Source organism: Homo sapiens, chromosome 8, assembly GCF_000001405.40.
Source record: "Homo sapiens chromosome 8, GRCh38.p14 Primary Assembly".
Taxonomy (NCBI): domain Eukaryota; kingdom Metazoa; phylum Chordata; class Mammalia; order Primates; family Hominidae; genus Homo; species Homo sapiens.
The window spans coordinates 11,699,598-11,724,362 of NC_000008.11; the positions used below are offsets into that span (position 1 = coordinate 11,699,598).

The 24,765-nt window shown below is 48.3% G+C and overlaps 1 protein-coding gene and 1 non-coding gene across 6 annotated transcripts in view, besides 8 other annotated features; both read left to right on the forward strand.

The window, feature by feature from the left end:
* The window catches only part of GATA4 (GATA binding protein 4), an 83,068-nt gene that overhangs the window by 22,663 nt on the left and 35,640 nt on the right, over window positions 1–24,765 (forward strand). For 2 of the 5 annotated variants that reach the window (NM_001308093.3, NM_002052.5), the window contains exons 1-2: window positions 4,605–4,707; window positions 8,259–9,331. In NM_001308093.3, the coding sequence (NP_001295022.1) occupies window positions 8,716–9,331 (616 nt within the window). In that variant the 5' untranslated portion in view covers window positions 4,605–4,707; window positions 8,259–8,715. Of the gene's footprint in view, window positions 1–913; window positions 1,182–4,604; window positions 4,708–8,258; window positions 9,332–24,765 lie in introns of those variants that run through there. The other 3 variants (NM_001374274.1, NM_001308094.2, NM_001374273.1) reach the window with 3 other exon arrangements.
* Window positions 209–3,900: an enhancer, noted in NCBI's record as "VISTA enhancer hs2204". NCBI's record gives its function as "enhancer in: heart[5/14]" and the evidence as "EXISTENCE:transgenic organism evidence [ECO:0001131][PMID:17130149]".
* Window positions 3,583–3,877: an enhancer, noted in NCBI's record as "tiled region #9827; HepG2 Activating DNase matched - State 1:Tss". NCBI's record gives its function as "activates a minimal TATA promoter and a strong SV40 promoter by Sharpr-MPRA in HepG2 cells {active_cell/tissue: HepG2}" and the evidence as "EXISTENCE:reporter gene assay evidence [ECO:0000049][PMID:27701403]".
* Window positions 3,583–3,877: a silencer, noted in NCBI's record as "tiled region #9827; K562 Repressive non-DNase unmatched - State 20:ReprD". NCBI's record gives its function as "represses a minimal TATA promoter and a strong SV40 promoter by Sharpr-MPRA in K562 cells {active_cell/tissue: K562}" and the evidence as "EXISTENCE:reporter gene assay evidence [ECO:0000049][PMID:27701403]".
* Window positions 4,637–4,686: a silencer, noted in NCBI's record as "silent region_18936". NCBI's record gives its function as "represses an Ori minimal core promoter by ATAC-STARR-seq in GM12878 lymphoblastoid cells {active_cell/tissue: GM12878}" and the evidence as "EXISTENCE:reporter gene assay evidence [ECO:0000049][PMID:35858748]".
* SNORA99 (small nucleolar RNA, H/ACA box 99) lies at window positions 5,765–5,961 on the forward strand. The gene has a single exon (NR_132779.1). It is a non-coding gene; the product is annotated as a small nucleolar RNA, H/ACA box 99 (small nucleolar RNA).
* Window positions 9,459–10,384: an enhancer, noted in NCBI's record as "OCT4-NANOG-H3K27ac-H3K4me1 hESC enhancer chr8:11566565-11567490 (GRCh37/hg19 assembly coordinates)". NCBI's record gives its function as "activates a minimal SCP1, AML or CMV promoter by ChIP-STARR-seq in primed H9 embryonic stem cells {active_cell/tissue: H9 hESC(primed)}" and the evidence as "EXISTENCE:reporter gene assay evidence [ECO:0000049][PMID:30033119]".
* Window positions 10,385–11,308: an enhancer, noted in NCBI's record as "OCT4-NANOG-H3K27ac-H3K4me1 hESC enhancer chr8:11567491-11568414 (GRCh37/hg19 assembly coordinates)". NCBI's record gives its function as "activates a minimal SCP1, AML or CMV promoter by ChIP-STARR-seq in naive H9 embryonic stem cells {active_cell/tissue: H9 hESC(naive)}" and the evidence as "EXISTENCE:reporter gene assay evidence [ECO:0000049][PMID:30033119]".
* Window positions 19,191–19,335: an enhancer, noted in NCBI's record as "145 bp enhancer 121 fragment used in the MPRA reporter construct; PK_construct_1557". NCBI's record gives its function as "activates an SV40 promoter by MPRA in HepG2 cells {active_cell/tissue: HepG2}" and the evidence as "EXISTENCE:reporter gene assay evidence [ECO:0000049][PMID:23512712]".
* Window positions 19,257–19,270: a transcriptional cis regulatory region, noted in NCBI's record as "HNF4 motif; enhancer activity is reduced when this motif is scrambled". NCBI's record gives its function as "necessary for full MPRA enhancer 121 activity {active_cell/tissue: HepG2}" and the evidence as "EXISTENCE:site-directed mutagenesis evidence [ECO:0005528][PMID:23512712]".

Sequence of the window (24,765 nt, forward strand, 5' to 3'; positions counted from 1 at the left end):
GGCGGCGCCTGCGTGGCCACTGCGCCTCCAGCGCTGGCGCTCCTCAACCTGCTGGGGCCCCTGCCTGGACTTGCAGGCACTGGACCAGGCTTCAGTCCTAGCCTCAGCTACGCTGGACCTGAAGAGCCCCTCCCTATTCAAAAAGGCTATGGTGTCCGTCCTGAACTCAGCAAAAATGTTCAGAGATTCCTTTCCACTTTTTTCCCTCTTCCTGTGGGCTCTCAGATTATGAGATATAAACTTTTTTAAACATTGATTTTATTTTTTAAATGTTAAACATGCTCATTAAAGGAAACTCAGAACAATTTTTAAAAGACAGTTTTTAAAAATACGTTTTCATGGTAGAAAGTCGATATTAAATAGAATGGAAAAAAAAGAACTAAGATTCAGGAATCCAGGTTCTAGACCTGCAGTTTCGCCCTTGCTTTGCCACCTCAGACAAGTACCTTAACCTCTCTGAGCCTCCATGTGCTGGTTTCTAAGGTGAGGGCGATAACACCGTCTTTCCCTTCCTCTTGCTAATGATATTGTTGTTCCCTAGAGAAAAATGAGATTTGAAAGTGTTCTGTAATCTGGAAGTGACTATAAAATATGAGAGGGTGTGCCAGAAACTCTGGTCCTCAGGGCTGGAAGCACCAGGAAGCATTTGAGGAGGTCTACGAGGGAGAAGATGTATTCGCTTTGCAACCCAGAGTAGTAATTTCGAAAGCAAGACCATTAACAAGGATTGCTCCTTCCTCTCCTCTCGTCTGTAACCGGCTGCAGAGCACGGTTCCGGGCGAACAGGGCGGAGGCTCTACGTCCACTCCGTATCCCCAAGAAAGAGTGTCCGAGGCACGGACCATAGCAAGTGAAGGAAGGTAGGTCGACGTGGCCTTGCAGCTGAATTCGTTCTCCATTTTTCCTTCAGCAGGGACGCATCCTGCTCTGCACCCTGGTTCTCGGCGCTGCGCCCGCGGAGGCTCGTGCAGGGCAGGCTGCCCGTGCGGGTGAGGACTGAGTGCCGCGCAGGGAAGGAGTATCGCAGACCGGCGCCCAGGCCCAGCGGGGGAATCCAAGGGCCGTGTTGCAGGACTCGGCATTCGTTCTGCGCGGGTCACCTTGAATGTCTGTCCGGATCCCTCGCGGCAGGGCCGCAGAGGCGCGTCCATATCTTGGAGGAATTCGTTCCATAGAATGAGGTTTGATTCTCTCTGGGGTTTCTTGTTTTCCATTATAAGACTCTGGCGACCTTGGTGGCGCCAGATTTTTTCAGATGTTGCTTTTGTTCCGGGTGTAGCGGCCAAGATCATGGACCCAGGCGTGGCACTTGGTTTAAAACAAACTTGGACAGGTCCCACCAAAAACTCGCAGAAACTCGGCGCTGGAAAACCATCAGTGGCTTCACTGTGAATTCCAGCATCCACCGTTTATTTTTATTTTTGGGGGGAACCAGTGTTTAGATTGCTCTGTACACAATACGCAGCGTACAATTTGCCTCTTCTGGGGTATGGACCAGCTCAAGTCCCAAGAGCCTTAATGGAACAGGGTAAAGCAATTTATTCTTGCCTTGGAGATATTTTTTAAAAGAGTACAGTACACCTAAGTAATTCTTGTTTGTCTAAAATCTGACGACCTGACACTGGGTCATTAGACCCAGGTTCTTAGAAAAAAAAAAAAAAAAAAAAGTCAAAGACGTTCACAGTGTTAAATTCTCCTCCTAGACTACGGGAAAGGAAACCCGAGAGAGGACTTGAATGGGGATTGGGCCTGTCTACCCAGGCCAGCCCAGGCATATCTTCCTTAAAAATAGCCAAGAGGCCGGACCTCAGAGCACCCACCCGCTGCCCCCCTTCCCAGCGGCCTCTGGAGCGAGAGAGAAGCCTGGGAACCTAGAGAGGCGCCGATAAACCTCCTCCAGCCGGCGGCCCAGCGAGGCCTTGAAATGCTCCCCGCTCCTGGCAACGCACAGCCAACCTGCAGGCTCCCGCTTGGCCCAAGGGAGGGAGGGGGCGAGCGGAGAGCGAAGGAGGAAAGGAGGGAAAAGGAAACACCCCCAAAAAAGCAGGCCGTTTGCCAACCACCCCTGGTTTGTCCTTGAGCTGAGGCCTTGGGGAGAAAGTTGGGGCGCTGGACCTAGAGGAAAAAGCCACAAGAAACATAATTTTCTCTGTCCCAGGCGACTTCCAGAGACAGCGAATATTCCTGGGTCAGGGGATCCCAGGTTTCAGTCCACTAGGAGTGCCAGCGGAAGGTGTGGGTAAAGGACCGGGGTGGTGGGGGGTGGTGGGAGGTGGTAGGGGTGGCCCAGGGTTGGCAGAAAGCGGCGGCTCAGGTAATCTGGGGTTCCTTGCAAGCAAGCACCCAGCAAAAGCAGGCGTTCCCACCCAGCGGTGTGGCAGCGGCCATCCACAGTACAGCCTGTTATAGCCCCACCATCCACAGCACAGCCTGTTATAGCCCCACCAGTGTACAGAGCAGGGGGTTGAAGTTTAGGGAGGATGGGGAGGGCGAGGGTGAAGGATCGCCGCAAGGCACCGCACCTCCCGCTGCAGCCCATCCCGCACTACTAGGAGAAGCCGGCGTAGGAGCGCCGCCTGTGTCCTTGGCTGTGGGGAGGACGTCAGATGGCACCCCGCCAGACACTAAGCCCCAAGCCCCTGGCTTGTTGCTAAGAAAATTCACTGCCCGGTCCAGACTCAGCCCTTTTCGCCCTTTAAGGGTCGCGCGTGGGAGGCAGCTCTGAGACCCCGGGTAGCGCTGGAGCCACAGATTTCCTCCGAGAAAAGAAAGGCCGGGATAGCTTCCCGCTCGCCCAAGCCCAGATTTTCCACTCTCCAGGAAGGCCTTGCAGGTCCCTGCCGCAGGCCTTGGCTTCGCGCCTCTCTCGCTCGCCCCCCACGAAGATGATTGCCGGTTTCAAACCGGGAGCAGGGAGTCTGCTTCCTTCTCCGCTGAGTCCGAAGGATCGCAGATTGGAGCGTGCTCCGGAGACCGCTTTTCCGCAGCGCCGGCCTCCGAGATCCCCAGCACCCCTTCAGCCTTAAGTTCCCACGTTTCGGGTCCGTGGCGCCAATTCTGCTAAGTAGCAGGCTAGGAATTGGGGGAAGTCGGAGAAGAAACCCTAAGTGTGTCGCCCCCAGCTTCCGGGATGCAGGCCCGCCGGGGTCTAGAGGGGCGGCTGCCGTGCGTCCAGCCTGTGCGCAGGCCTTTCGCCGCTCGGCGCCCCAGGCAGCCTCAGTTTCCTTTCCTCTGTTTGCGCCCCAGTGAACCTCCGCACCTCTCATTCAGGGAAGAGAATTCCCCGCGCAGCCGCGCTCGTTTCTTCCTCTGGGATTTTCCTGAGAATCCCCAGGAGTTGGCCACGATCCCATGGGGGGTTTCCTTCTACCCAGCCCCGCGTCCTGGCCTCGTCCTTAACCCCCGGGTTGCCTTCACTCAGGCTGGGAATCCACGATTGATTTCCTACTACGGAAGCGGGTGGCGTTCCCAGCCTGCTTTCGGAGCAGCACGGGTTTCGTGCAGGGTGTTATCCCGACCCCTTCCCCCATCCCTCTAATCTGGCTTGAGAAGCCCGTGCTGGAGAGAAAAACGCGGCCTTAAAAAAAAAAAAAAGTTTAACCGAAAGCGTGAGAGCCACCCGCCGGCTGTTATCTGGGGCTGAAGGCTGCGGTAATCGATGGGTTATTTTTACGCGGTAATAGGGCCCTGTGATTGCTCTATTAACCTTTAGACCTGTCTGAGGGACTCTCCGGCTCGCAGCCCCGCTGCGCTGGGGCCTCCAGGCTCTGACGCCGACTCCCAACTCAGGCCTGACACATTCCCCTCCCCCATACCCTGGAAGAGCCCCCTCCATGAAGAAGCTCCCCTGGACCGCCTGGCTCCCCAGCCCTTGCCACGTCCCTTGGATTGGTGCAGAGCCGCCGCAGGCTGCAGAAAAAAGGGGGAAAGATTAGAAGAGAGGAGGCCACAGGAGATGGGAAGTGTCGCCAGGAAGGGATGCAGATTGCATAAATACATAAAATTGAGGCTGAGGCCTGGGCTCCCGACCATCTCCCTGGGATTTTGGGAAGGCAAAAGGGAGGCTTCGGTCTCTACGCTCTGATTTTAGGAGGCAGTCTGGGTGTCTCCTGAACCTCCAAGGAATCCGGGGCTGGGAGGATCCCCACTACCCCTGCCCAGGAACTAGCATCCAGCCGGGCACCCCGGGTGACCCAGTGCCCCACACAAGATCGAGAGTTGAGCCCAAGAGGTCACCTTCTTCTCTACTGGCCCCGCCCCTCGCCCGCCGCTGCGGGATGAGGACCACAGGAAGGGGGGGCGGGGAGGGAGAAAGGGAACTCATTAATAAAGCTGACCCTGGGCACCACAGCGAACCCAATCGACCTCCGGCTGGGTTGCGGGTGATTCCCCGCTCCCTGGCGGTAGCACTTGGGCATTTTCCGCGGAGACCCCAGAGCCTGGACTTTGCCTGCTGGGGGAGCTTTCCGCACAGTCCCGCAGCCTGCGCCCAGCGGAGGTGTAGCCGGGGCCGCGCACCCCCGCCCCGCCCTTGCACGTGACTCCCACAGGCCAGTCAGCGCCCTAGGGCCGAGTTGCTGGGCCGGGGACCCGAGCCGCGAGCTGGGGACTTGGAGGCGGCCGGCGCAGGGGCCGCGAGAGGCTTCGTCGCCGCTGCAGCTCCGGGGGCTCCCAGGGGAGCGTGCGCGGAACCTCCAGGCCCAGCAGGTAGGGCTTTTTTCTTCCCTTTCTTTGCTCCTTCCCGCGGTCCCCCAAACTCGGAGCTTCTCCGCCTTTGCTTGTCTGGAGGTAGAGAGGTAGCTAGTGGGAGGAAAAGAGACGTGCGCTACTCACTTCACCGAAATTGCCCAACCCCTGCTCTGCTTTTGACTTTGCCTTAGCAACTTCTTTAAGTCAAAGTAAGACTTGGGGGCAAAACAGAGAAATATTGGAAGCGCCTTTGGATTCTTTCCGTGTGAACTTGAACGCTTTCAATCCCTGTCCCCGTGTGCACATTCTCCAACCCTTGTTTGCATATCGCAGGCCGGGGCCTGGGTGGTGATGGTGGCCGCGTGAAGTTACCGGGACTGACGGGCCCGGGACAGGCTGCACGGCAGCTCGCACATGGAGGGAAGTAGACGGAGGCTTGTCGCCCACCAGCGACTCCGGGGACGCAGGGTGGCAGTGCCAGGCAGCTCCGCTGGGCCTCAGGGGCCCCCGGGAGCCGCTCTGAGGTGCGGAGAGGCTGCTGAGTGGCGGAACTATTCATGCCCTTTCTGGCCGGCCTCCTCGCCCTCGGGGCTGGGGTCCAGGGACTGAATGCTCCTCTGGAAGCTCACCACCCCACCTGCCCGCGCTGCTTCTACCTGAAACTGGCCAAGGGCCCGAGCCCGGACCGGAGCCGTGACTTCCCTCCGCCGGCCACGGGGCTGCCCGGATCCGCCGGGTTATGTCGCTTGGCTTTGGGCTCAGGGGTCACCGTGGGCAGAGGGGGGTGCCGGGGTCGCGGACTGCCACCAGGTTGAGGAAAGGAGGGGCCTTTTGGCTGGGGAAAGAGCGTGGTGGGGGACCCGCGGCCGATGGAATCCCTGGGGCAGCGCGGCCCGCACCGTGGAGGTTGGGGAAGCGCCTCGGGGAAGTGTTTCCTGTGTTCCCAGAAAAGGAAGACAACCGAGAGCAGGTTTCAGGCTTTTAAAGAAAGCCTGGGGTGTGGAGGTGATGCTCCGCACACGTCTGTGTCTCCTCCCCTGCTGCGGCCGGCTTGGTTGTGCCGGCTAGCGTGCGACCGTCCTCCTCGCTGCAGGCCGAGAGCGGAGGCGTAAACCCAGGCCAGCGAGGAGTGTCCTATAAAGGGACGGGGACTTTTCGGCGCTTGCAATTCTCCCATTCTGAAAAATAGATCGGAAGAGGGCTATTGGTTGATTCTTGAAAGGGGAGCGCATTTCCTGTTGGCCTGCGAATTTGGGGTGAACTGGGACAAGTGATCAGAAGGAGAGCAAAAACTCCCCGATTTTGGCAGCCTCGGGAGCTGCTGGGCTTTCTCCGCCAACTGCAGGATCCAGGCTCAATTTCAACAACCAGCCAGAGGCGTTTTCCAAGAGCAGCTAATTCCTTGTTTTTCCAGAAAGTTATAGAGGAGTATTTTCTCCACCTTCTGTTGTTCTAGTAATCCAACTCAGGCACTATATCAGCCATTTGAAAAGGCAGAGAATGTGATAAAGACAAATATTAGATTGATGACATTTTTTGCATTTACCTTTTAAAGTCTGCAAGTTACTACCTGTGTGTATACTGGAAGTTGGATTATAAAATTCTAAATCTCCTTTCTTTTCCAAAGTTATGAAAGAAAAAAAATTACATTATCTTGAAGAACTGCAGGAGTTGAGTATTCCAGAAAATGCAATGAAATAGGTCAGCTACTTGATTTTAAAAGTCAAATACTGGATCTTTTATTAAGGTAAACCCATAATTCTTTAACTTTATTTTCAAAGGGAAAAGTTGGTGACCTCAGGTCAATTTTTAAAAAAATCTATTCTCTAACCAAACTTGCTGGAATGAACTATTTGCCAAACCAATAAGTTATTGCATATTTTGAAAGCAAATAAGCTTTTAGGAGTTACCATGTGACTATATAATACAATACAGTACTATTCCATTATTATTACTAGTGATGTTGCAAAAAATGGTGAAAAGCATTATGTAGTGTGTATTAAAGATTCCATTTCCAGATTTTTACAGTAATAAAGATGATCATTTATTATAGTATATACATTTGAGGTACTTTCTTGTATTATACTAGAAATCTGTAGTAATAGTCAACTGTTATTTAGAACTTTCTTTTTGCCTGTTAGGACAGTTTTATAAAAATCTGTTATAAGTGTTTTACAAATATTAATTTATAATCCTCACTCCTAAGCTTCACGATGACTCTACAAAATAAGTACCTTTAATATCTGCATTTTGCAGATGAGGAAACTAAGGCACAGAGAGGCTAAGTAATTTGTCTAAAGGTGTTTATTCCGTAAGTCTCAGAGCCTGGATTCATATATAGTTAACATTCTTGTAAATCTACTATTGAAATAAAAAAGAAAACTTTGTCGGGAGTAGTTGCCTCTTCTTAAAGAGAGAAATGGAGTGTGGTGGACAGCTTCAAGCCCCTGGAGCCCTACTGATCCCATTCCCTTCCCCCACCCCTTCTGATTGTACTTTGATCTTAGACAAGTTTCAAAACTTTCCAGTGCTCCAGTTCCCTCTTGTAAAATGAGGAGAGACACCTGTACTTAGTAGAGTTGTAGAGAAAAGGACCTGGAGGTAATTCAGACAGCAGGTAATTCAAAAAGTGGAGCTCTTATTTTATCAGAAAAATTGCCTGATAATAACAAAACGCAGGATGCTGGGAAGTATATAATCAAGTTCCACAAACTGCTCTTTCCCCAAGCACCCACCTTGGTGTTATGATTCTGCTTATGGGTGGATTTATTATTCTATATGAAGAACCCATTCAGTGAATTAGAATGGTCCAGTGGGTTATTCTGTAGAGCGGCATTGTACATTCTTCTCACTTTTCTGGTTCTGATATACAATTTGCAAAACGTCTAAATTGTAACTATTTGCAAGAAACCTGTAACTTGTCCGATTTGACGTCCACATGGTTAGTGTATGGATGAGGGTTTCAGAACCCTCTTCAGGAGGCTTAGCAGACACCGTTGTTCACTTATAAACATTTGGACTCTACTTCTGGTTTTTTTTTTTTTTAATTACAAACAAAACTTTGTTAGGTTGTTGTTTTGTGTAAAGTTTGTCCTTGTCCCCCCAAGGACAATCTAAAGTTCTTTCTAGGCCAGTCTCCCCATCTTTCTTGGGGAGAGATGGGGAACAGAGGAGATGAGAGATTTCTTGGGTCCCAGGCACTCTGCATTAACGCCAAACTTTTGGACTTACAAAAATATGCTTGCAGAATAAGGTAACATTAAAGTCCTTCCTGACAAGCAATACAAAAATCATTGACCAAGATCACAACCAATAACTGCACACCAAAGACCCGGGAAGCCCCTGGTCCCTGGGGCGCCTCTCCCCAGGCTTGCCTGGGCCGCCTGACCCAACGCCTGGACAAAACAAAGGCCCCTGCTTCCCGGCACCGCGCGGCCTCCGGAGCTGCACCCCCAAATCCCCGTGGCGACTTCATTTGAAGCGTGGAAGAAGCAACCACGCAAGTGGAGAGTGGGTTCTGAAAGCTCTGGGATGAACCACCCTCTCTCTTTCTGTCGTTCCTCTTTTAGGACCCCGGCTGCGGCGAGGAGGAAGGAGCCAGCCTAGCAGCTTCTGCGCCTGTGGCCGCGGGTGTCCTGGAGGCCTCTCGGTGTGACGAGTGGGGGACCCGAAGGCTCGTGCGCCACCTCCAGGCCTGGACGCTGCCCTCCGTCTTCTGCCCCCAATAGGTGCGCCGGACCTTCAGGCCCTGGGGTGAATTCAGCTGCTCCTACATCAGCTTCCGGAACCACCAAAAATTCAAATTGGGATTTTCCGGAGTAAACAAGAGCCTAGAGCCCTTTGCTCAATGCTGGATTTAATACGTATATATTTTTAAGCGAGTTGGTTTTTTCCCCTTTGATTTTTGATCTTCGCGACAGTTCCTCCCACGCATATTATCGTTGTTGCCGTCGTTTTCTCTCCCCGCGTGGCTCCTTGACCTGCGAGGGAGAGAGAGGACACCGAAGCCGGGAGCTCGCAGGGACCATGTATCAGAGCTTGGCCATGGCCGCCAACCACGGGCCGCCCCCCGGTGCCTACGAGGCGGGCGGCCCCGGCGCCTTCATGCACGGCGCGGGCGCCGCGTCCTCGCCAGTCTACGTGCCCACACCGCGGGTGCCCTCCTCCGTGCTGGGCCTGTCCTACCTCCAGGGCGGAGGCGCGGGCTCTGCGTCCGGAGGCGCCTCGGGCGGCAGCTCCGGTGGGGCCGCGTCTGGTGCGGGGCCCGGGACCCAGCAGGGCAGCCCGGGATGGAGCCAGGCGGGAGCCGACGGAGCCGCTTACACCCCGCCGCCGGTGTCGCCGCGCTTCTCCTTCCCGGGGACCACCGGGTCCCTGGCGGCCGCCGCCGCCGCTGCCGCGGCCCGGGAAGCTGCGGCCTACAGCAGTGGCGGCGGAGCGGCGGGTGCGGGCCTGGCGGGCCGCGAGCAGTACGGGCGCGCCGGCTTCGCGGGCTCCTACTCCAGCCCCTACCCGGCTTACATGGCCGACGTGGGCGCGTCCTGGGCCGCAGCCGCCGCCGCCTCCGCCGGCCCCTTCGACAGCCCGGTCCTGCACAGCCTGCCCGGCCGGGCCAACCCGGCCGCCCGACACCCCAATCTCGGTGAGTAGGAGCGCGAGGGCTGGGGCGCGTGAGGGCCGGGGCAGGGGCCGTCTTGAGCCCTGTCGAGGGCCTCTTGTTTTTCCACCAACGCCTTCGTTGGGCTGGGGATGGTGCTTCACTACCTCGAGTTTCTAGGGAAGGCAGAAGCCAGTGCGGGGCTGGCGACATCACAGCCCCAGAAGACCGGCTTCTGTGGAAGGGGCCGGGCCTGCCCGCCGGGGCCTCTTCTGAGATGGTGTCAGGGTCGGAGTGCGGCCTCCCCGCCATCCCAGACATCGACCGTGGCCGCGCTGCGCTGTGGGTGACGCGGGAGGACAGCGGGCTCCCTGGAGAGCCGGGGGCAGCGGCCTGGGATTTCCTCGTGGAAGGTGCTGGAGATTGCTGAGTTTCTGCGCCCCTTTCCTCCCCGCCCGCCCTCGGGCCTCCGCAGGGAACTGATTACAATGGTTTGGACCGCAGACCTTCTGGGCCATTTGGCGGCCCAGCTGGAGGATCCCTCGGGGTAGCTGATGATTTTCCCGTCGGGGGTCTCACACCGAGAACAAAGGAGGGATGGACAAAGGAGACGCCGGGGAGATGCGCGGAACAGGAGCCGGCACTGTGCGGGTGCCACCCGGCCGAGCGCGTGGGCGCATCATGCGGGCAGCGGGGGGGGGGGCGCACACGCCCGGTCAGTGTCCGGGAACATAGGGACCTCAAACGCGCTTGTTCATGACACCCGAGTTAAATGGAGACTTTGCAGTCGCTTGCACGCGTGGAGCCTCCTCTTCTCGCGTGGGCCAGGGTTGGAAATAACCGTTGTGGTAGGTTCCATGCAGTGTTTCCATCGGATGTCAGACGGGGAGGGACGGCAAACCTGTCTCAACCTCCACTGATTCACAAATAAACGCAGCGGGATCTGAGAAGGGGCCTGAGTACACGGGCCGGGGGAGAAAGGGAAGTGGCAACCCCTAGTTCAAAATGCAAACGACCTCTGGAATTTCGGGAAGAGACGGAGGAGTGAGTTTGGATTGAGCCCACCCTGTGGGGGAGGGGAAGCCCAGGCTTGAGAAGCAAAGCTCGCGTTTATTGACCACCTACTAAGTGCTAAATCCTTCTGCATTTGTTCTCACTTTGAAGAGTAAAGGCTACCCCTGCCAGGTTTCCAGTCTTGGGCTGGCTCCGAGAAGGGCCTAGGCTTTGAAGCGCTTTTAAATTGTCCTCTGGCCCTGGGTGGCCAGGGAAGGTTCCCGGGGGTGCAGCCAAATACACATCGCCGGCAAACTGATTAACCCTGAAAGTGGCGCCGAGGCCCGGTCTGTGGCTCTTGGTGTTCCCCTCCCCCTCACCCCTCTTGGGGGAGCCAGACGGCCACCCCCAGGGGAGGAGGGGCCCGGCCGAGCCTCGCCGCGACTTTTGCGAGATAGCGCGGCGACATGGCCACACAATGGAGCCCGCAGGCGGGAGTGCGGGGCGGGGCGCGGCGCCCTGGCCTTGCGCGCTTACGGGGTCCTCTCCAGGGCCCTCTGGGGCCTCTGACTTAAAATAGGGAGGACTGGGCCAGGAGATCGAGACCATCCTGGCCAACCTGTTGAAACCCCGCCTCTACTAAAATACAAAAAAAAAAAAAAAAATTAGCGGTCGTGGTGGCGCGCGCCTGTAGTCTCAGCTACTGGGGAAGCTGAGGCAGGAGAATCGCTTGAACCCGGGAGGCAGAAGTTGCAGTGAGCCGAGATCGCGCCACTGCACTCCAGCCTGGTAACAGAACAAGACTACGTCTCAAAAAAAAAAAAAAAAAAAAAAAAAAGGACTGGTCCAGGGAGAGTTTGCTTTGTAACCCCGACAATCCTGGAGGGAATTTGGTGTTTGGTTAAGGAAAAGAGAGAAGTTAAAAGTCATGAGTTACATCCAGCAGTGTAAAAACGAAATACCCGCCGGGCGCGGTGTCTCACGCCTGTAATCCCAGCACTTTGGGAGGCCGAGGCAGGCGGATCACAAGGTCAGGAGTTCCTGGCCAACATGGTGAAACCCCATCTCTACTAAAAATACAAAAATTAGCTGGGTTTGGTGGTGTGTGCTTATAGTCCCAGTTACTTGGGAGGCTGAGGCAGGAGAATCGGTTGAACCCGGGAGGCGGAGGTTGAGTGAGATTGCTCCACTGCACTCCAGGCCTGGCGACAGAGGGAGTATGTCTCAAAACAAACAAACAAAAAACCGAAATACCATGTGAATGCACACAGTATTCAGATTTTGAAATGTCAGCCATGCCATGTAGAGGTTGCTGATGAAGTGATGTTTCCCAAATTCCCATGTCAGCAAATGGCAAGCTGACCTCCCTGTGCGTCTCTCTGCCAAGAACTGCCACCTGCCTTCTCTGGGCTCTTCCCGGATAGCTTATGAAGTCCACAGCCTTTGAATCTGGCCTAGAGGGTGGTTTTTCTCTTCTGCACCCAGCCAAGTGTTTTAGGAGAGGTGCGGCTCTCTGTGAGGGAACACAGGGCATGTTGAACTTGTTGGCATTCATAGCTTCAGCGTGTTATGCAGGTGGCACTTACATAAAAGCAACTGAAATTAAAAGCAGTGCATGTGGCCAGGCGCAGAGGCTCATGCCTGTAATCCCAGCACTTTGGGAGGCTGAGGCAGGAGGATCATTTGAGGCCAGGAGTTCGAGGTCAGCCTGGGCAACATAGTGAGACCCCATCCCTACAAATCATTTTAAAAAATTAGCCAGGCTTGGGGTGGCATGCCTGTAGTCCCAGCTTTGGAAGCTGAGGTAGGAGGCTCACATGAGCCCGAGGCCACTGCACTCCAGCCTGGGTGACAGAGTGAGACCCTCTCTCAAAAAAAAAAAAAAAAAAAAAAAAACCAGTGCATGTGAATGTGCTTTTTATATGTTCTTCCCATTACTTGGGCTCTCCTACCTGCCTGGCAGCTTTAGTGAGGACCAGCATCACATAGTAGCTGACCCTGAGTCATGGAGGGAAGATGAGAACTGACCCCAGCTTTCTGAGGAGTTGCCACTGAGCCCTAAGATGGCCAGACAGTGTGGTGGGAGGAGCACAGGGTTTTAAAGTTGGGCAAACCTAGATTCAGTTCCAGGAGCCTCGTGTCATCTTGGGCAAGTTACTTACCTCTCTCGGTCTCACCTCTTTTTCTGTAAAATGGGATCATCATAACAATTTTTAGTGTTGCCTTAAATTAGAAAAGTAAGGTAATACTTTTGAAGAATTTGGCTTTAGCCCTTCATAAATGATGGTTATTTTATTGAATAGCCACTCACTGTCATGTAGAGTTACCAATTTTGCTGGTGTGCCCAGGACTGAGGGTTTTCCCAGAATGTGGGATTGTTCGTGGTAAACCTGGGACAGTCCCCAGTGAACGCAGATTGTTGGACACTCAATGTGAAAATGGGTGCATTACCCATCGTTGTGGTTTGGTAATGAGCTGAGAACAAAGAAGAAACAGCAGAGGAGAAGCAGCTGAGAGCAAAGGAGAAGCAGCATCATTCTTCCCTCTGCTGAGATTCTGGAAGTAGTCATTTAAGTGCTGCCAGCTTCATTTGGTCTTGAAGGGTGAGTAGGAGTTTGTCAGGAAAAGAACCAGCAATTTTTTAAAAAAAGAAATATTGACCATTTTATAGGAAAAAAAAGAAAGACAAAGAAAAAGAGGCCAGGTGCAGTGGCTCACACCTGTAATCCCACCCTTTGGGAGGCTGAGGTGGGAGGATTGCTTGAGCTCGGGAGTTTGAGACCAACCTGGACAACATAGTGAGACCACATCTCTAAAAAAAAAAAAAAAAAAAAATTAACTGGGCATGGTAATGCATGCCTATAACTCCAGCAACTCAGGAGGCTGAGGTGGGAGGATCGCTTGAGTCAGGGAGGTTGAGGCTGCAGTGAGCCGTGATTGCACCACTGTACTCCTACCTGGAGAACAGAGCAAAGACCCTGTCTCAAAAAAAGAAAAAGAAAAAGAAAGGATATACTCTGCTTTACTAATATGTTGTGTAGTACCATGAAATAATACAATGCAACCTGGCCTTTGATTTAAATAATATATTTGTCACAATAGGTAAAACTATACAGACTAATTAACCTTAACTCAGAAACTGTTTTTAATTTCAATGAGGAGAAACAAGAGAACACTTTTTTTTTTCTATGTAACTGCTGTAGTTTTAACAATATCTTGCCATAGTTCTTATGTTGGTTATGTGAATAGGGCAAAAATCAAAACAATAATAAATAATAAAAGTTAACAGGGGCCTCTGTAAAGCCCTGAACTTAGGTTGGAAGAAATAAGTGTGGCCTGACTGCAATGTATGTGAACTTTAATTCACTCCAAGTTCCATATGAGCTACGACCCTAAGACAAATGTTAAAATCATTAATTAGGCTGCATGAATGGAATTATGTGACCTTACTGAGGGCAGGTACAGAGTCTTACTCATTTTTAAGTGCCTGGCACATGTTGGGCACTTAGCAAATATTTGCGTAGGGATCTTGGTGGTAATTGCCCCAGGACTCTGCCCTGCCTGGGTCCAACCACACAGAATGGCTGCGTGAGTCCTTTAAGAAGCAAACTGGAGAGCCCTAGGGGAACGGTGGGCAGGATGGAAGAGGGTTCTGGAAACTTCAGGGAACCACTGGAGGAAAGCAGGGCTTTTAGGCTGGAGAAGTCACTGAGTGGATGAAAGCAAGATGGAGTATGACTGTGTCCAAATTTCTGAAAAGCAAAAAAAAAAAAGAAAAAAAAGACCATGACCTTTTAACTCTGTGTTAGTGAAGGTGAGCAGATATTAGATGTGAGAAGAACACTCCTAGACAATTGTGGTTGTGTGGAAATGCAGTATAGAATATGGCTTGTCTTCATCATAAACTCCTGGGCGCTGGAAGCACTTGTGGTGGAGCTCTGCGGATAGTTCTTGCCTTGCAGGGCTAGGATAGGATCTGCATGTGCCTGTGAAACGGACGTAGCCGGAGAACGTAGCTGTTTCCTTTTAAAGAACCCAGTCACGGTGGTTACACGTGTATCTCCATATGGCAAAATTGTGGAGCTGTGCTCTTAAAATGGGAGTCTTTTATTGCATGTACATTACACCTCAGTGAAGCTGATTTTTATACCAGTTAATGCTTGTGAGTACTTAAGGCTGAAAAGGAGACCGAAATGGAAATAGATTGTAAATATGCCTTGACGGATATATGGTGGTAGGTGTTACTGGAAAGGCTAGGAAAATATATTTAAGTATGGAATAACAATTATTTTGTGTAATGGAGACATAAGCAATTATGATATTCTCCAAGGATTTCAAAAAGTTTGAATCATTTTTAGAGTCGATAAAAATAACAACACAATGAAATACATGTACAGTATATCACTGTGTTATTCAAACAATTTATTTAAAAGAAGTTTTGCCCCATTAGGGATGGAGTGGGGGCATTCAAGGTGTTCTCAGAGTTTTTTTATGGTGCAGGTCAGTGAAAAACCCCGAAGTGTTTTCTGGATCTTTTGGGACCTGCTTATCAAGTACGCTAGTGGCTTTCAAAGCCGGTTCATTTGTGCAGGGAACTTTGTGAGACTGGAGAATGATTTGTCGATCTTCAGGAAAACCAAAGTTGTTTAACTTTCCGGTTACCACCCTGAGCAGGTCAGTCAGAGTTGGGGTTGGTCTGTGGTGCTAAGCTGAGAACGAATTAAATAAGAAAGGTGTGTTGGGGTGGCCAGGGGTGTGTCACTACCTCTAGTGAGCCCTGTCACTTGCCCAGTTGTGTCCCATCAAAAGGTCAGGCCACATTTGCTAGGCACTTTCTAAGCACTCAGGTGGAATGATGCCCGGGAGACAGTTCTAGATAACGCTTTATTCTGTATCCCTCCCCATTTCTTTTCTAACTTAAATGCACTAAGAAAACAAACACACTGAGGTGTGGGGAAACAGGAACTCTGATACCTGTGGGTGGGAGTGTAAATCGCTCTGACCTTTATGGAGAGTCTTAGGTGTAGTAGCCATAAAATTGCAAAGTAGACAGCCTGGACTCCGGAATTTTCACTTCTAGGGATTTGTTCCACAAGCACACCGGCACATATTAATTTCAGCATTGCTCGTAATAACAAAATTGGAAATAATCTAAATGTGCATCCTTAGGGGAATGTTTTTATGCACGTGGCACATACAAACCATAAGCTATGTAGGCAAGAAATAATGAAGTTCATTATCTAATGTATGGAATCCTCACAAAGACATTTATAAATGCAGGAAGTGTATATAGCACTTTACTGTTTGTGTTAAAAAAAAGAAAGAAAAAGATTATATTCACTTGAAAATACAAAATCTCACAAAAAATTTGTAACACAGATTTGCCTGTGGGGAGGAAAGCGGGTAGGTGAGGGATAATGGTAGAAAAGGGACTTTCACTATGCATGCCTTGGAACTTTTTGAATTTTTTAACCACCTTAATCATTTTTATACTCATTTCTGTGCCTTATTAATCCATTTAATAACAAGAAAATACATTTAACATACAGGGAAGTTAAAGTTAAGTTTAATGTAAAAATTTCAAATCATCGGCTGGGTGCAGTGGCTCACACCTGTAATCCTAGCACTTTGGGAGGCTGAGGCGGGCGGATCGTGAGATCAGGAGACCAGCCTGGCCAATGTGGTGAAACCCTGTCTCTACTAAAAATACAAAAATTAGCTGGGCATGGTGGCACGTGCCTGTAATCCCAGCTATTCAGGAGGCTGAGGCAGGAGAATTGCTTGAACCCGGGAGTTGGAGGTTGCAGTGAGCCGAGATCACACCACTGCATTCCAGCCTGGGCGACAGAGCAAGACTCCATCTCAGAAAAAAAAAACAACTCAAATCATCTTAGCCACTTTTAAGTATACAGTTCAGTAGTGTTAAATACCTTTGCATTGCTGTGTATCAGATCTTTAGAACTTAAACTCTGCCCATTAAAATACCACTCCCATTCCTCTCCACACCAGCCCCTGGTAACCCCCATTCTATTTTCTTTTTCTTATGAATTTGACCACTCTAGGGACCTCACACAAGTAGAATCGTACAGTGTTTGTCGTTTTGTTTCTGGCTAATTTCATTTAACATAATGTCTTCATGATTCATCCATGTTGTAGCATGTGCCAGAATTTCCTTCCTTTTTAAAGCTGAATAATGTTCCATTGTATGTGTAGACCACGTTTTGTTTATCCATTCATCCATGGATGGACACCTGAGTTGCTTCTCCGTCTTGGCTACTGTGAATAATGCTGCTATGAACATGGGTATGCAAATGAAACCTTTTGAATTTGGAGAATGTGACTATATTACCTAATTTTAAAAACATATTAAACTAATTAAGTTTTAAAAAACAGATACATGATATTCATGAATCAACCTGAAAGTAGCATCTTTTTCTTTTTTTTTTAAAGAAGATTCTCTATTTAGTGTTTATGGATGCACAGGAAAACTGCTTTAAGGCATAAGTTGTTTTTTATTAAATTTGTCTTTTACCTATTCTTTTACAATTTTGGGGGTTTTCCTTTATGCTCAAGCTTCCTCAAGATTCTTCAAGGCAGATCAAAACCATCCTCAGTGGCAATCCTGTATTTGGCTTTTGATTTTGCTTATTTCACAGGAGGTTGCTTTACTGAGAGGGGGAAATCTCTACTCCTGGTCTCAGTGCTGGTAGTGGATCTAAATCAGCAATGGGCGGACACCCCAGCCCCACACTACTGTGGCTTCCCCACTTGTGGGCACAAACAGTCACGTACTAGGCAATGGTGACCTCTCCAGGTAGGCAGTTTTCCCTCAGGTTATATTGGAGTTAGAACCTGCCTGAAAACCACTAACCGGCTGCAGCGGTGGGATTGTGTGAAGAACAAGTTACCTTCCTCCAGGGCAAGGTGATTCTTTTAAACAAATTTTAAGACAATTTAGTTGTACTGAATTTAGAGCTGAAGCCAGTTGCAAATGTAGCTGCTTGTGTCTGCATAAGAAAGAGGAAGTATGCTAGTTTTCCTTTCCTTGTTCCAGAAGAGGGCAGTTCTTGCCAACGCGAGCTGCTGCTTTAAGAACTTGAAGCAACTTTTCTGACATCTGAAACTATTTGTCTTTTGGGAACTTATTTGTCCTAGCCTGCCTGCAGAACCAGCTGTTAAGGCTCTGTTGGGAAGGAGTATCGCTCTGCTATATTGACCTCTGGTAGACCATGACATGGCCCCATATGCCATACAACATAAACTGGTTACTAAGAGTAATTTAATGGCTATCTCTAGAGCTACTCTTTTGTTACCTTCTAAAGAAGGCAGGGAAGAAAATATAAATGGGGTTATAATAGGAATAATCTTGAATCTGTTTTAATTTATACAAAATACATTTATAAGTTTTGGCACATTCACGTTTGGATACTGGCTAACAACTTTTTAGCGAGAGTAGCCTGTATCTTGCATGTCATTCCATTGAACAGTAAGGTGGATCCCTGTCAATGAAGAAATCATCTGATGCCAGGGACTTTGAAGTCTTTCTCCAAGAGGTAGATACGATGATCTCTGTTTTGCTGGAAAGAAAGCTGATACCCAGAAAGAGCCTGTAATCTCAGGTCCCCGTGGGTAGTAAACAGCCCTGGTTTGGAACCCAGGTAAGTCCAACCTGCAGGATTGTACTTTCCCCCTTTCCCCACACTTTGTATTTGCCAAATCTGATATGAGGGCACTTGGCTCTTCAGAACCAGAAGCTATGTGTGATTGAAGGGCTCTATTAAACCTTAGGATTTTCCATGACTTGTCGCTCCCATCCGCTTCCTCTCCCCAGGGTAGCTTCTTGTCTGAGTTTCCGTTTGCTTCCCACCAATCACTGTCTCTCTAGGAGCAATGTCGTCCTACGGAATCTTCCGTATCATTCCTCAACTGTAAGCTCTGCAGTTCAGGAATGCAATGTTAGGAATCCCAGTGTTGCACAAACTTCCTTTCTAGCCGTTGGATTCTGGTGTGCAGAGAACTAAAGAGACTTCCCAGGATTCAGACCCTTCCAATGGGAGGATTCTCCTAACTCTAGGGGAACTGTTGGCTGCTTAAGAGCAAAACCATATGGCTCACTCAAAAATCCCTTTCCTAAGAGAAATCTATAACTGACCCTCTGTGTTCCCTTTTCTCTGAAGATTTCAAATATATTTGTGGTAAAAGCAGAGAAAGAAGAGGAGAAAATCATAATAAAAGCACAATAATGATGATTTTAGTAAAGATAAGAATGGGGCATGGATCAAGACAATGACTAAAACCCCAGGCAGGAAAAGCCCCGTGGAATTGGTCTGAACTGAATGTAGCAGCCCATCAGTGGAAGTTTTCTTGTTTCTGGCAGGTGGCCTATGCTTTTATCTATTACTGCTCTGTAATCAGAATTGAGCCACGATATTCAAGTTTCTTATCTGAATGATGGGAATTTGGTTTTCTGGCCTTCTGCATTTTGCAGGAGCCCAAGAATTGACCTGATGTTTTAAAATATATTTTCCCTCCAAAGGAGGAGTAAAATCCAGACAGGTGGGCCATTCTGTGTGTTTAAAGTCATTGAAAAGCCTCTGCAAGTAAAATTTGAGGCTGTCTGTAACCCACATTGAATAGTTACAGATATATTTTATTTTGGAGGATAAAAAATCAAGAAGTTACTACCACAATTTGGTGGGAATTTTGAATTTTGGAGTTTTCCTTTGTACTCAAGCTTCCTCACGATTCTTCCAGGCAGATCAAAGCCATGGGTTTTGGGATCCCCTAATCGCAAATCCAGTTTTGCTTCTTAAAATCTAATCAGTCCTTAAGTTATTTTTTAAATCTTCCTTTCTACTCCCCAGTTGAAATCTCCATTTCTACTTCTAGAAATCCAGTCAAACCTTATCGCCTCCATTTAGAACTGATCGATAGCAACTGGTGAGCAGGTTAATTATAATCGCAGAATAAACGCTGAAGTCTCAAAGTTCACCACTTTTGCAATGTTTCCAAACCCCTCGGGACCATGCCAGGAGGCGCTCATTGACCCATTCCGAGCAGGTGTGGGAGTTTGAACCAGGGGCAGACAATCAGATCTGATTCAAACAACTCAATTTGGTTGCTTATCTAGAGGTTTTCCTATCTTATGATATCTGTCATTTTAGATAAAAAAGAGTTCATCAATTGAGCTGGGAAATGGCAAAGTTACATTTTATTCTGATAAAAGTTTGCTAGTTGTTGTTTTATCAGCTTGGGTTGAAATTGTGTCTCCGTCAAGGTCTGCAATGACCTTTTCAGATATTTTATCAGGTATTAGGTGGGGGAGTCCTTTTTTTTTTTTTCCTTCTTTGACCTAGAAAAGAATGACCTGACTTCCAAGATCATAAATCAAACCAGGTAAAGACAGGCAATAATACAGGTTGCCCCTCAAAATTGAGTAGGCGGGGAAAACAAACAACAAATAAAACCTTTCCCTAGCATTTGGGGAGAACTTAACTTGACCCGAAATAAAGAATGTAGTTCCCACGGAGTGCACAGATGTAGGAAAATACTGCTTATTTTAAAAAAGAAAATGCTTTCCAGGCAAAAATGGCTTCAGAGAAACACGTAGTAATTTTTTTTCAAGTAGTATAAGGGAAACTTCTTTATTTTATGAAACTCAATGTATATTTATTATAGAAAAATGGAAAACTCACATAAACCAATGTAAAAATAATTGGTAATCTTACCATCCAAAGATAACCACTGTTAGGCATTAATCCTTGACTTCCAGTTATCCTACATACACAGGTATGTGTATAACTACATTATTAAGTAGTCGTGCAAGTTACTGTTTAAAGTCATTTCAGCACTGATGGCAATTTCTGTAAAATTAGTGACCCAGATTGGATCCTTAAACACTGATGCCATTTTTAAATAAAGCAGAAATGAGAAATTGACCAGCACTGTCAATAACAGCTGAATGGAAGAGTTGGGTGTAAAAACATATTTTTTAATCTTATGGTATATAATTTATAGCCACTTTAAAACTAAAGCATATTTGTAAGTTTTAAATTAGGGTCCTTGAAGCGAGGTGCCCCCAGGACGTGTGATTTACTAGGCCTCACTGGGGAATGGGAGTTGCAGCGCTGAAATCTGCTATTTGAAAAGGGGTGACCCAAGATCCCAGCAGCCGCAGGGAGGTGAAAGCACATTGGTCTGGCGCGGAGAAACCCTGGGCTCCTCTCCCAGACCCTTCTCTTCCTGCGGTGTGACTCACTGCCTCTCTCTGCTTGTGTGGCCATTTGTAAGGTGAAGAATTCAGGTCAGGTACAGCAATGGTGAGAAGGACTGCTCTACCGCCCTTTGGAGATGTTTAAAATCGAGTGTCTTCCGGCATGCCCCGTGATAGTCATTCAGGCTGACTTTGTCTTTCCCGGTACCACAGAGGCCACATTAACATTAAGCCTTCCTGTGCCTGCGTGGACATCAAACTCGAATTCATGCTTGCCTGTGTCAGGTAGGTTTCCACGGCTGCCTGCCTTGTTTTAAGCAACTCTGTGAAATCTTGGGTTTGATGGACTCATCTTTTCTTTTTACCTTTTATTTTAGATTTGGGGGTGCATGTGAAGGTTTGTTACATAGGTAAACTCGTGTCACGGGGATTTGTTTTACAGATTATTTCATCACCCAGGTATTAAGCCCCAGTACCCAATGCTTATCTTTTCTACTCGTCTCCCTCCTCCCACCCTCCACTCTCAATTAGATACCAGCATCTGCTGTTTCCTTCTTTGTGTTCATAAGTTCTCATCATTCAGCTCCCACTTATATGTGAGAACATGCGGTTAGTTTCCTTTCCTGCATTATTTTGCTAAGGATAATAGCCTACAGCTCCATGTATGTTCCCTCAAGAGACCTGATCTGGTTTTTTTTTTATACGGCTGCATTGTTTTTCTTATGCAAAGTGACCTCAGGTGCTCTGAGTTTCCTGCTGCTTGGGCTTTGCTTTTCAGTTAATAAACCCACTGAGTGTTGTCTGCAGGTCTAGGCAGTGGTGGAGATTTCATAGAAGTTCAGCTCCCTTCACACCCCAGCTCCACATGCGTGATTTGTTTCATCCATCCACCAGCCAATAAATACTTCTCCCCATTCCCTGTGAGCCTGGCGCTGGTCAGGCTGTAAAGATACAAAATGAACAGAAGTGTCTCCGAATCCCAGCAACTTAGAGCTTGCTAGGGGAGGGAACACGTGGATGTGCACTCTTAGGGGCAGGGGATCTGAAGCGCAAGGGGGCGAAAGTGGGTTCTACGGAGCCCTTAGGATACCGAAACTGGCCTGGGCGCCTGAAGTCAAGGCCAGGCTTCCTGGGCAAGGCAGACTTGTGGCATCCTAAAGGATGAGTAGGCGTTTGCTGCCTATAGGAAGGCCATTCTGAGCCCAGGACTTAGCTTGAATCAGGCTGTTCTGCAGTCCCGAGTGGAGGGCGCGAGGCAGGAATGCAAGCAGAAGCACGGCGTTGAGGGATGTTAGAATGCTGGAAAGGTGAGCAGGATTCGAGCAGCACTTCAGATATAGCGCTTTGGTTATGGTATAAGAAGGCGCAAGCTCCTGGCTGTTGGTTTTGTTTTGCACCCAAGCAGGGTGATGAGCGCCTCCCGCTGAGTCACCCATTTCCCATCGGAGAAGGAACTCTGGTTAAAATGAAGCCGCACGCTACAGGCCAGTTTTGGAGGATTTATGTGGTGTGCTTCGGCAGCAGGGCACGGCGGCTGTGTGGTTTGAGTTCAAATTGAGGGCCAAGAGGGGACAAAACTCAAGCCAATTTTAGTCCCCAAATCTGGAGCCCTGCCCTGGGAAGGAAGAGGAGTGTTCGTCTGACCCAGAAGGTCAAGCATCTTGTAATTCTGCCCTCTTCTTGTACTTTCTCTAAAGGTGGTGGGATGACATAGGATTACAATATAGATAATTACAGGGGACAATACTATGATGCAAGGATGGATTGCCAGACCCTGTAGGGTGGATTCACCTACCTCCCAGGAGGTGTAGAGGTGAAGAGGAAGGGCTCAGATCAACCGATCTTTCTTTCTCATTTGAACCTCTCTCACTTTGATCCATCACCCTTCCTTTAATTTTAAGTTCAATTTCTACCTTTTAAATAGGTTAAAAAACATTTTTTTGAGACAGACTCTCACTTTGTTGCCCACACTGGTCTCTAACTCCTGGGCTTAAGCGATCCTCCTGCCTCAGCCTCCCAAAGTGCCAGGATTACTGGTGTGAACCACCACACCCCACCTAAATAAGTTTTTTAATGTGAAAAATTTCAAACATAATAAAAATAGAGAGTAGAATATTCATCCCTCAGCTTTGACAAATATCATTTCATGACCAGCTGTTTAATCTATACATTACTCACTTTCCCCCACACAGTGTTATTTTGAAGCATATTCCAAACAGCATGTCATTTTACCCACAAATACTTTTGTATATATGTCTGAAAAGTACGAGGACTCTTTTATTTTAAAAAATACAGCCCCACTGCCATGTTATCACCCTGAAACAAATTGTCACTCTTTAATATCATTCAATATCCAGTCACTGTTCAATTTCCCAGTTTGTCTAATTGTCTTTAATGCCTTGTTCCAATCAGGATCTAAATGAGGTCTAAGCATTGCCTGTGTTATGCCTGTTAAGTTTCTTTTAATCTATGGGTTTCTCTTTCATCTCCTTTTCTTCTCCTTGCATTCTGTTTGCTAAAGAAATGAGGCTTTTCCCAGAGGACTTCTGCAGACTGGATTTTGTTGACTGCCTTCTCTTCATGACATTGAACATATTCCTCTGTCCCCTGTTGCTCATGTAAGTCTGTGATGGGAAAAATAGGCACACTCAGATTCAAGTTTGTGATGGCAGCAGCCCTGGATGCTCATTGCCTAGACCCTTTACTTTGTTAGGCATTGCTAATGGTAATATTCTACTGCCACCATTCCTTCTTCATTTGTTAGCTGGAATTCTTCTATAGCAACAAGCACATTTTTAGCTTATTGAATATTTGGTTACTTGGAGGTACAGTTTGTCTAGGAAAGGCAGGATACATGCCTGCTACAGTCGCTTTACTTTTCATTGTTCAAAAGAACAAATTAGTTCTCTAGCATCCTTCAACAATTACCAATGAAATGAAATTGTTTTCAGCATGATTAAGAACTCATGGACTTCAGCTGAGTATAGAGGCTCATGCTTGTAATCCCAGCACTTTGGGAGGCTGAGGCTGGAGGATCATTTGAACCTAGGAGTTTGAAGCCAGCATGAGCAACATAGTGAGAGCCTGTCTCTACAAAATAAATAAATAAATAAATAAATTAGGCAGGGGTGGTGGCATGTGCCTGTAGTCCCAGATACTTGGGAGGCTGAAGTGGGAGGATTGCTTGACCTGGGAGTTCGAGGCTGCAGTGACTCATGGTCCAACCACTGCAATCAGCAAGACCCTGTGTTAAAAAAAAAAAACAAAAAAACCTCATGGGTTTAAACAAGCATGATGTGTTTCTATCCATATATCCTGATTGATGTTCAGATTGTCCTATCTTTGCTAGAGGGAACTTGCTTAAACTGAGCTCTTTTGACAAAATCTTAGTTTAATAGTTTCTTGCTTTCCATCCTATAAAATGTCCTAATCTCTTTTTATGAGTTTTCTCTTGCCAGGCCTGGATTTGGCCATTTGCCCCAAGAAACCTGGCTCCTGTTAGTGAGGAATGGCGTTTGGAGATCAATCTCAGAGCTAGCTCTGCCAGCTGGGCTTATTGCTATTGGGTTAGTCATTCAACATGCAGAGTCAGGAAATACGTACCCCTCCTACCCCAAAGATAAGATAAAATACAGCATGTCTTCATACTGATGCTTTCAATTCAAATTTAGGGCTAAAAGGCTTTTACTTGCTTCATTCATCTTTTTAAAAAAATTATCTTAAACTATACATAAGATAAAATGTACCGTTTTAGCCATTATTAAGTGTACAGTTGGGTGGCATTAAGTACATCCACAGTATTGTACAACCATCACCCCCAGCAGTCTCCGGAACTCTTGCATCTTCCCAAGTGAAACTCTGTACCCATTAAATAACGTCTCCGTATCCCCTTCCCTCCAGCCTCAGGCAGCCCCCATTGTGCTTTCTGTCTCTCTGAATGTAACTACTTTAGTTACATGGAAGGACACAGTATTCTCTTGTGACGGGCTCGTTTCCTTTGGCATAGTGTCTTCAAGGTTTCTCCATTTTGTAGCATGTCAGAATGCAGCATGTCTTTTTTTTTTAAGGCTGAATAATATTCCATTGTATGGATCGATACTGTATTTTGTTTATCCATTCATCCCTCCATAGACAATTGGGTTGCGTCTGCCCATTGACCATTGTGAATAATGCCGCCATTTTTACATGGGTGAACAAATATCTATTCACCTCCCTGCTTTTACTTCTTTATGGTATATGCCCAAAAGCGGCATTGCTGGATCCTAGGGTAATG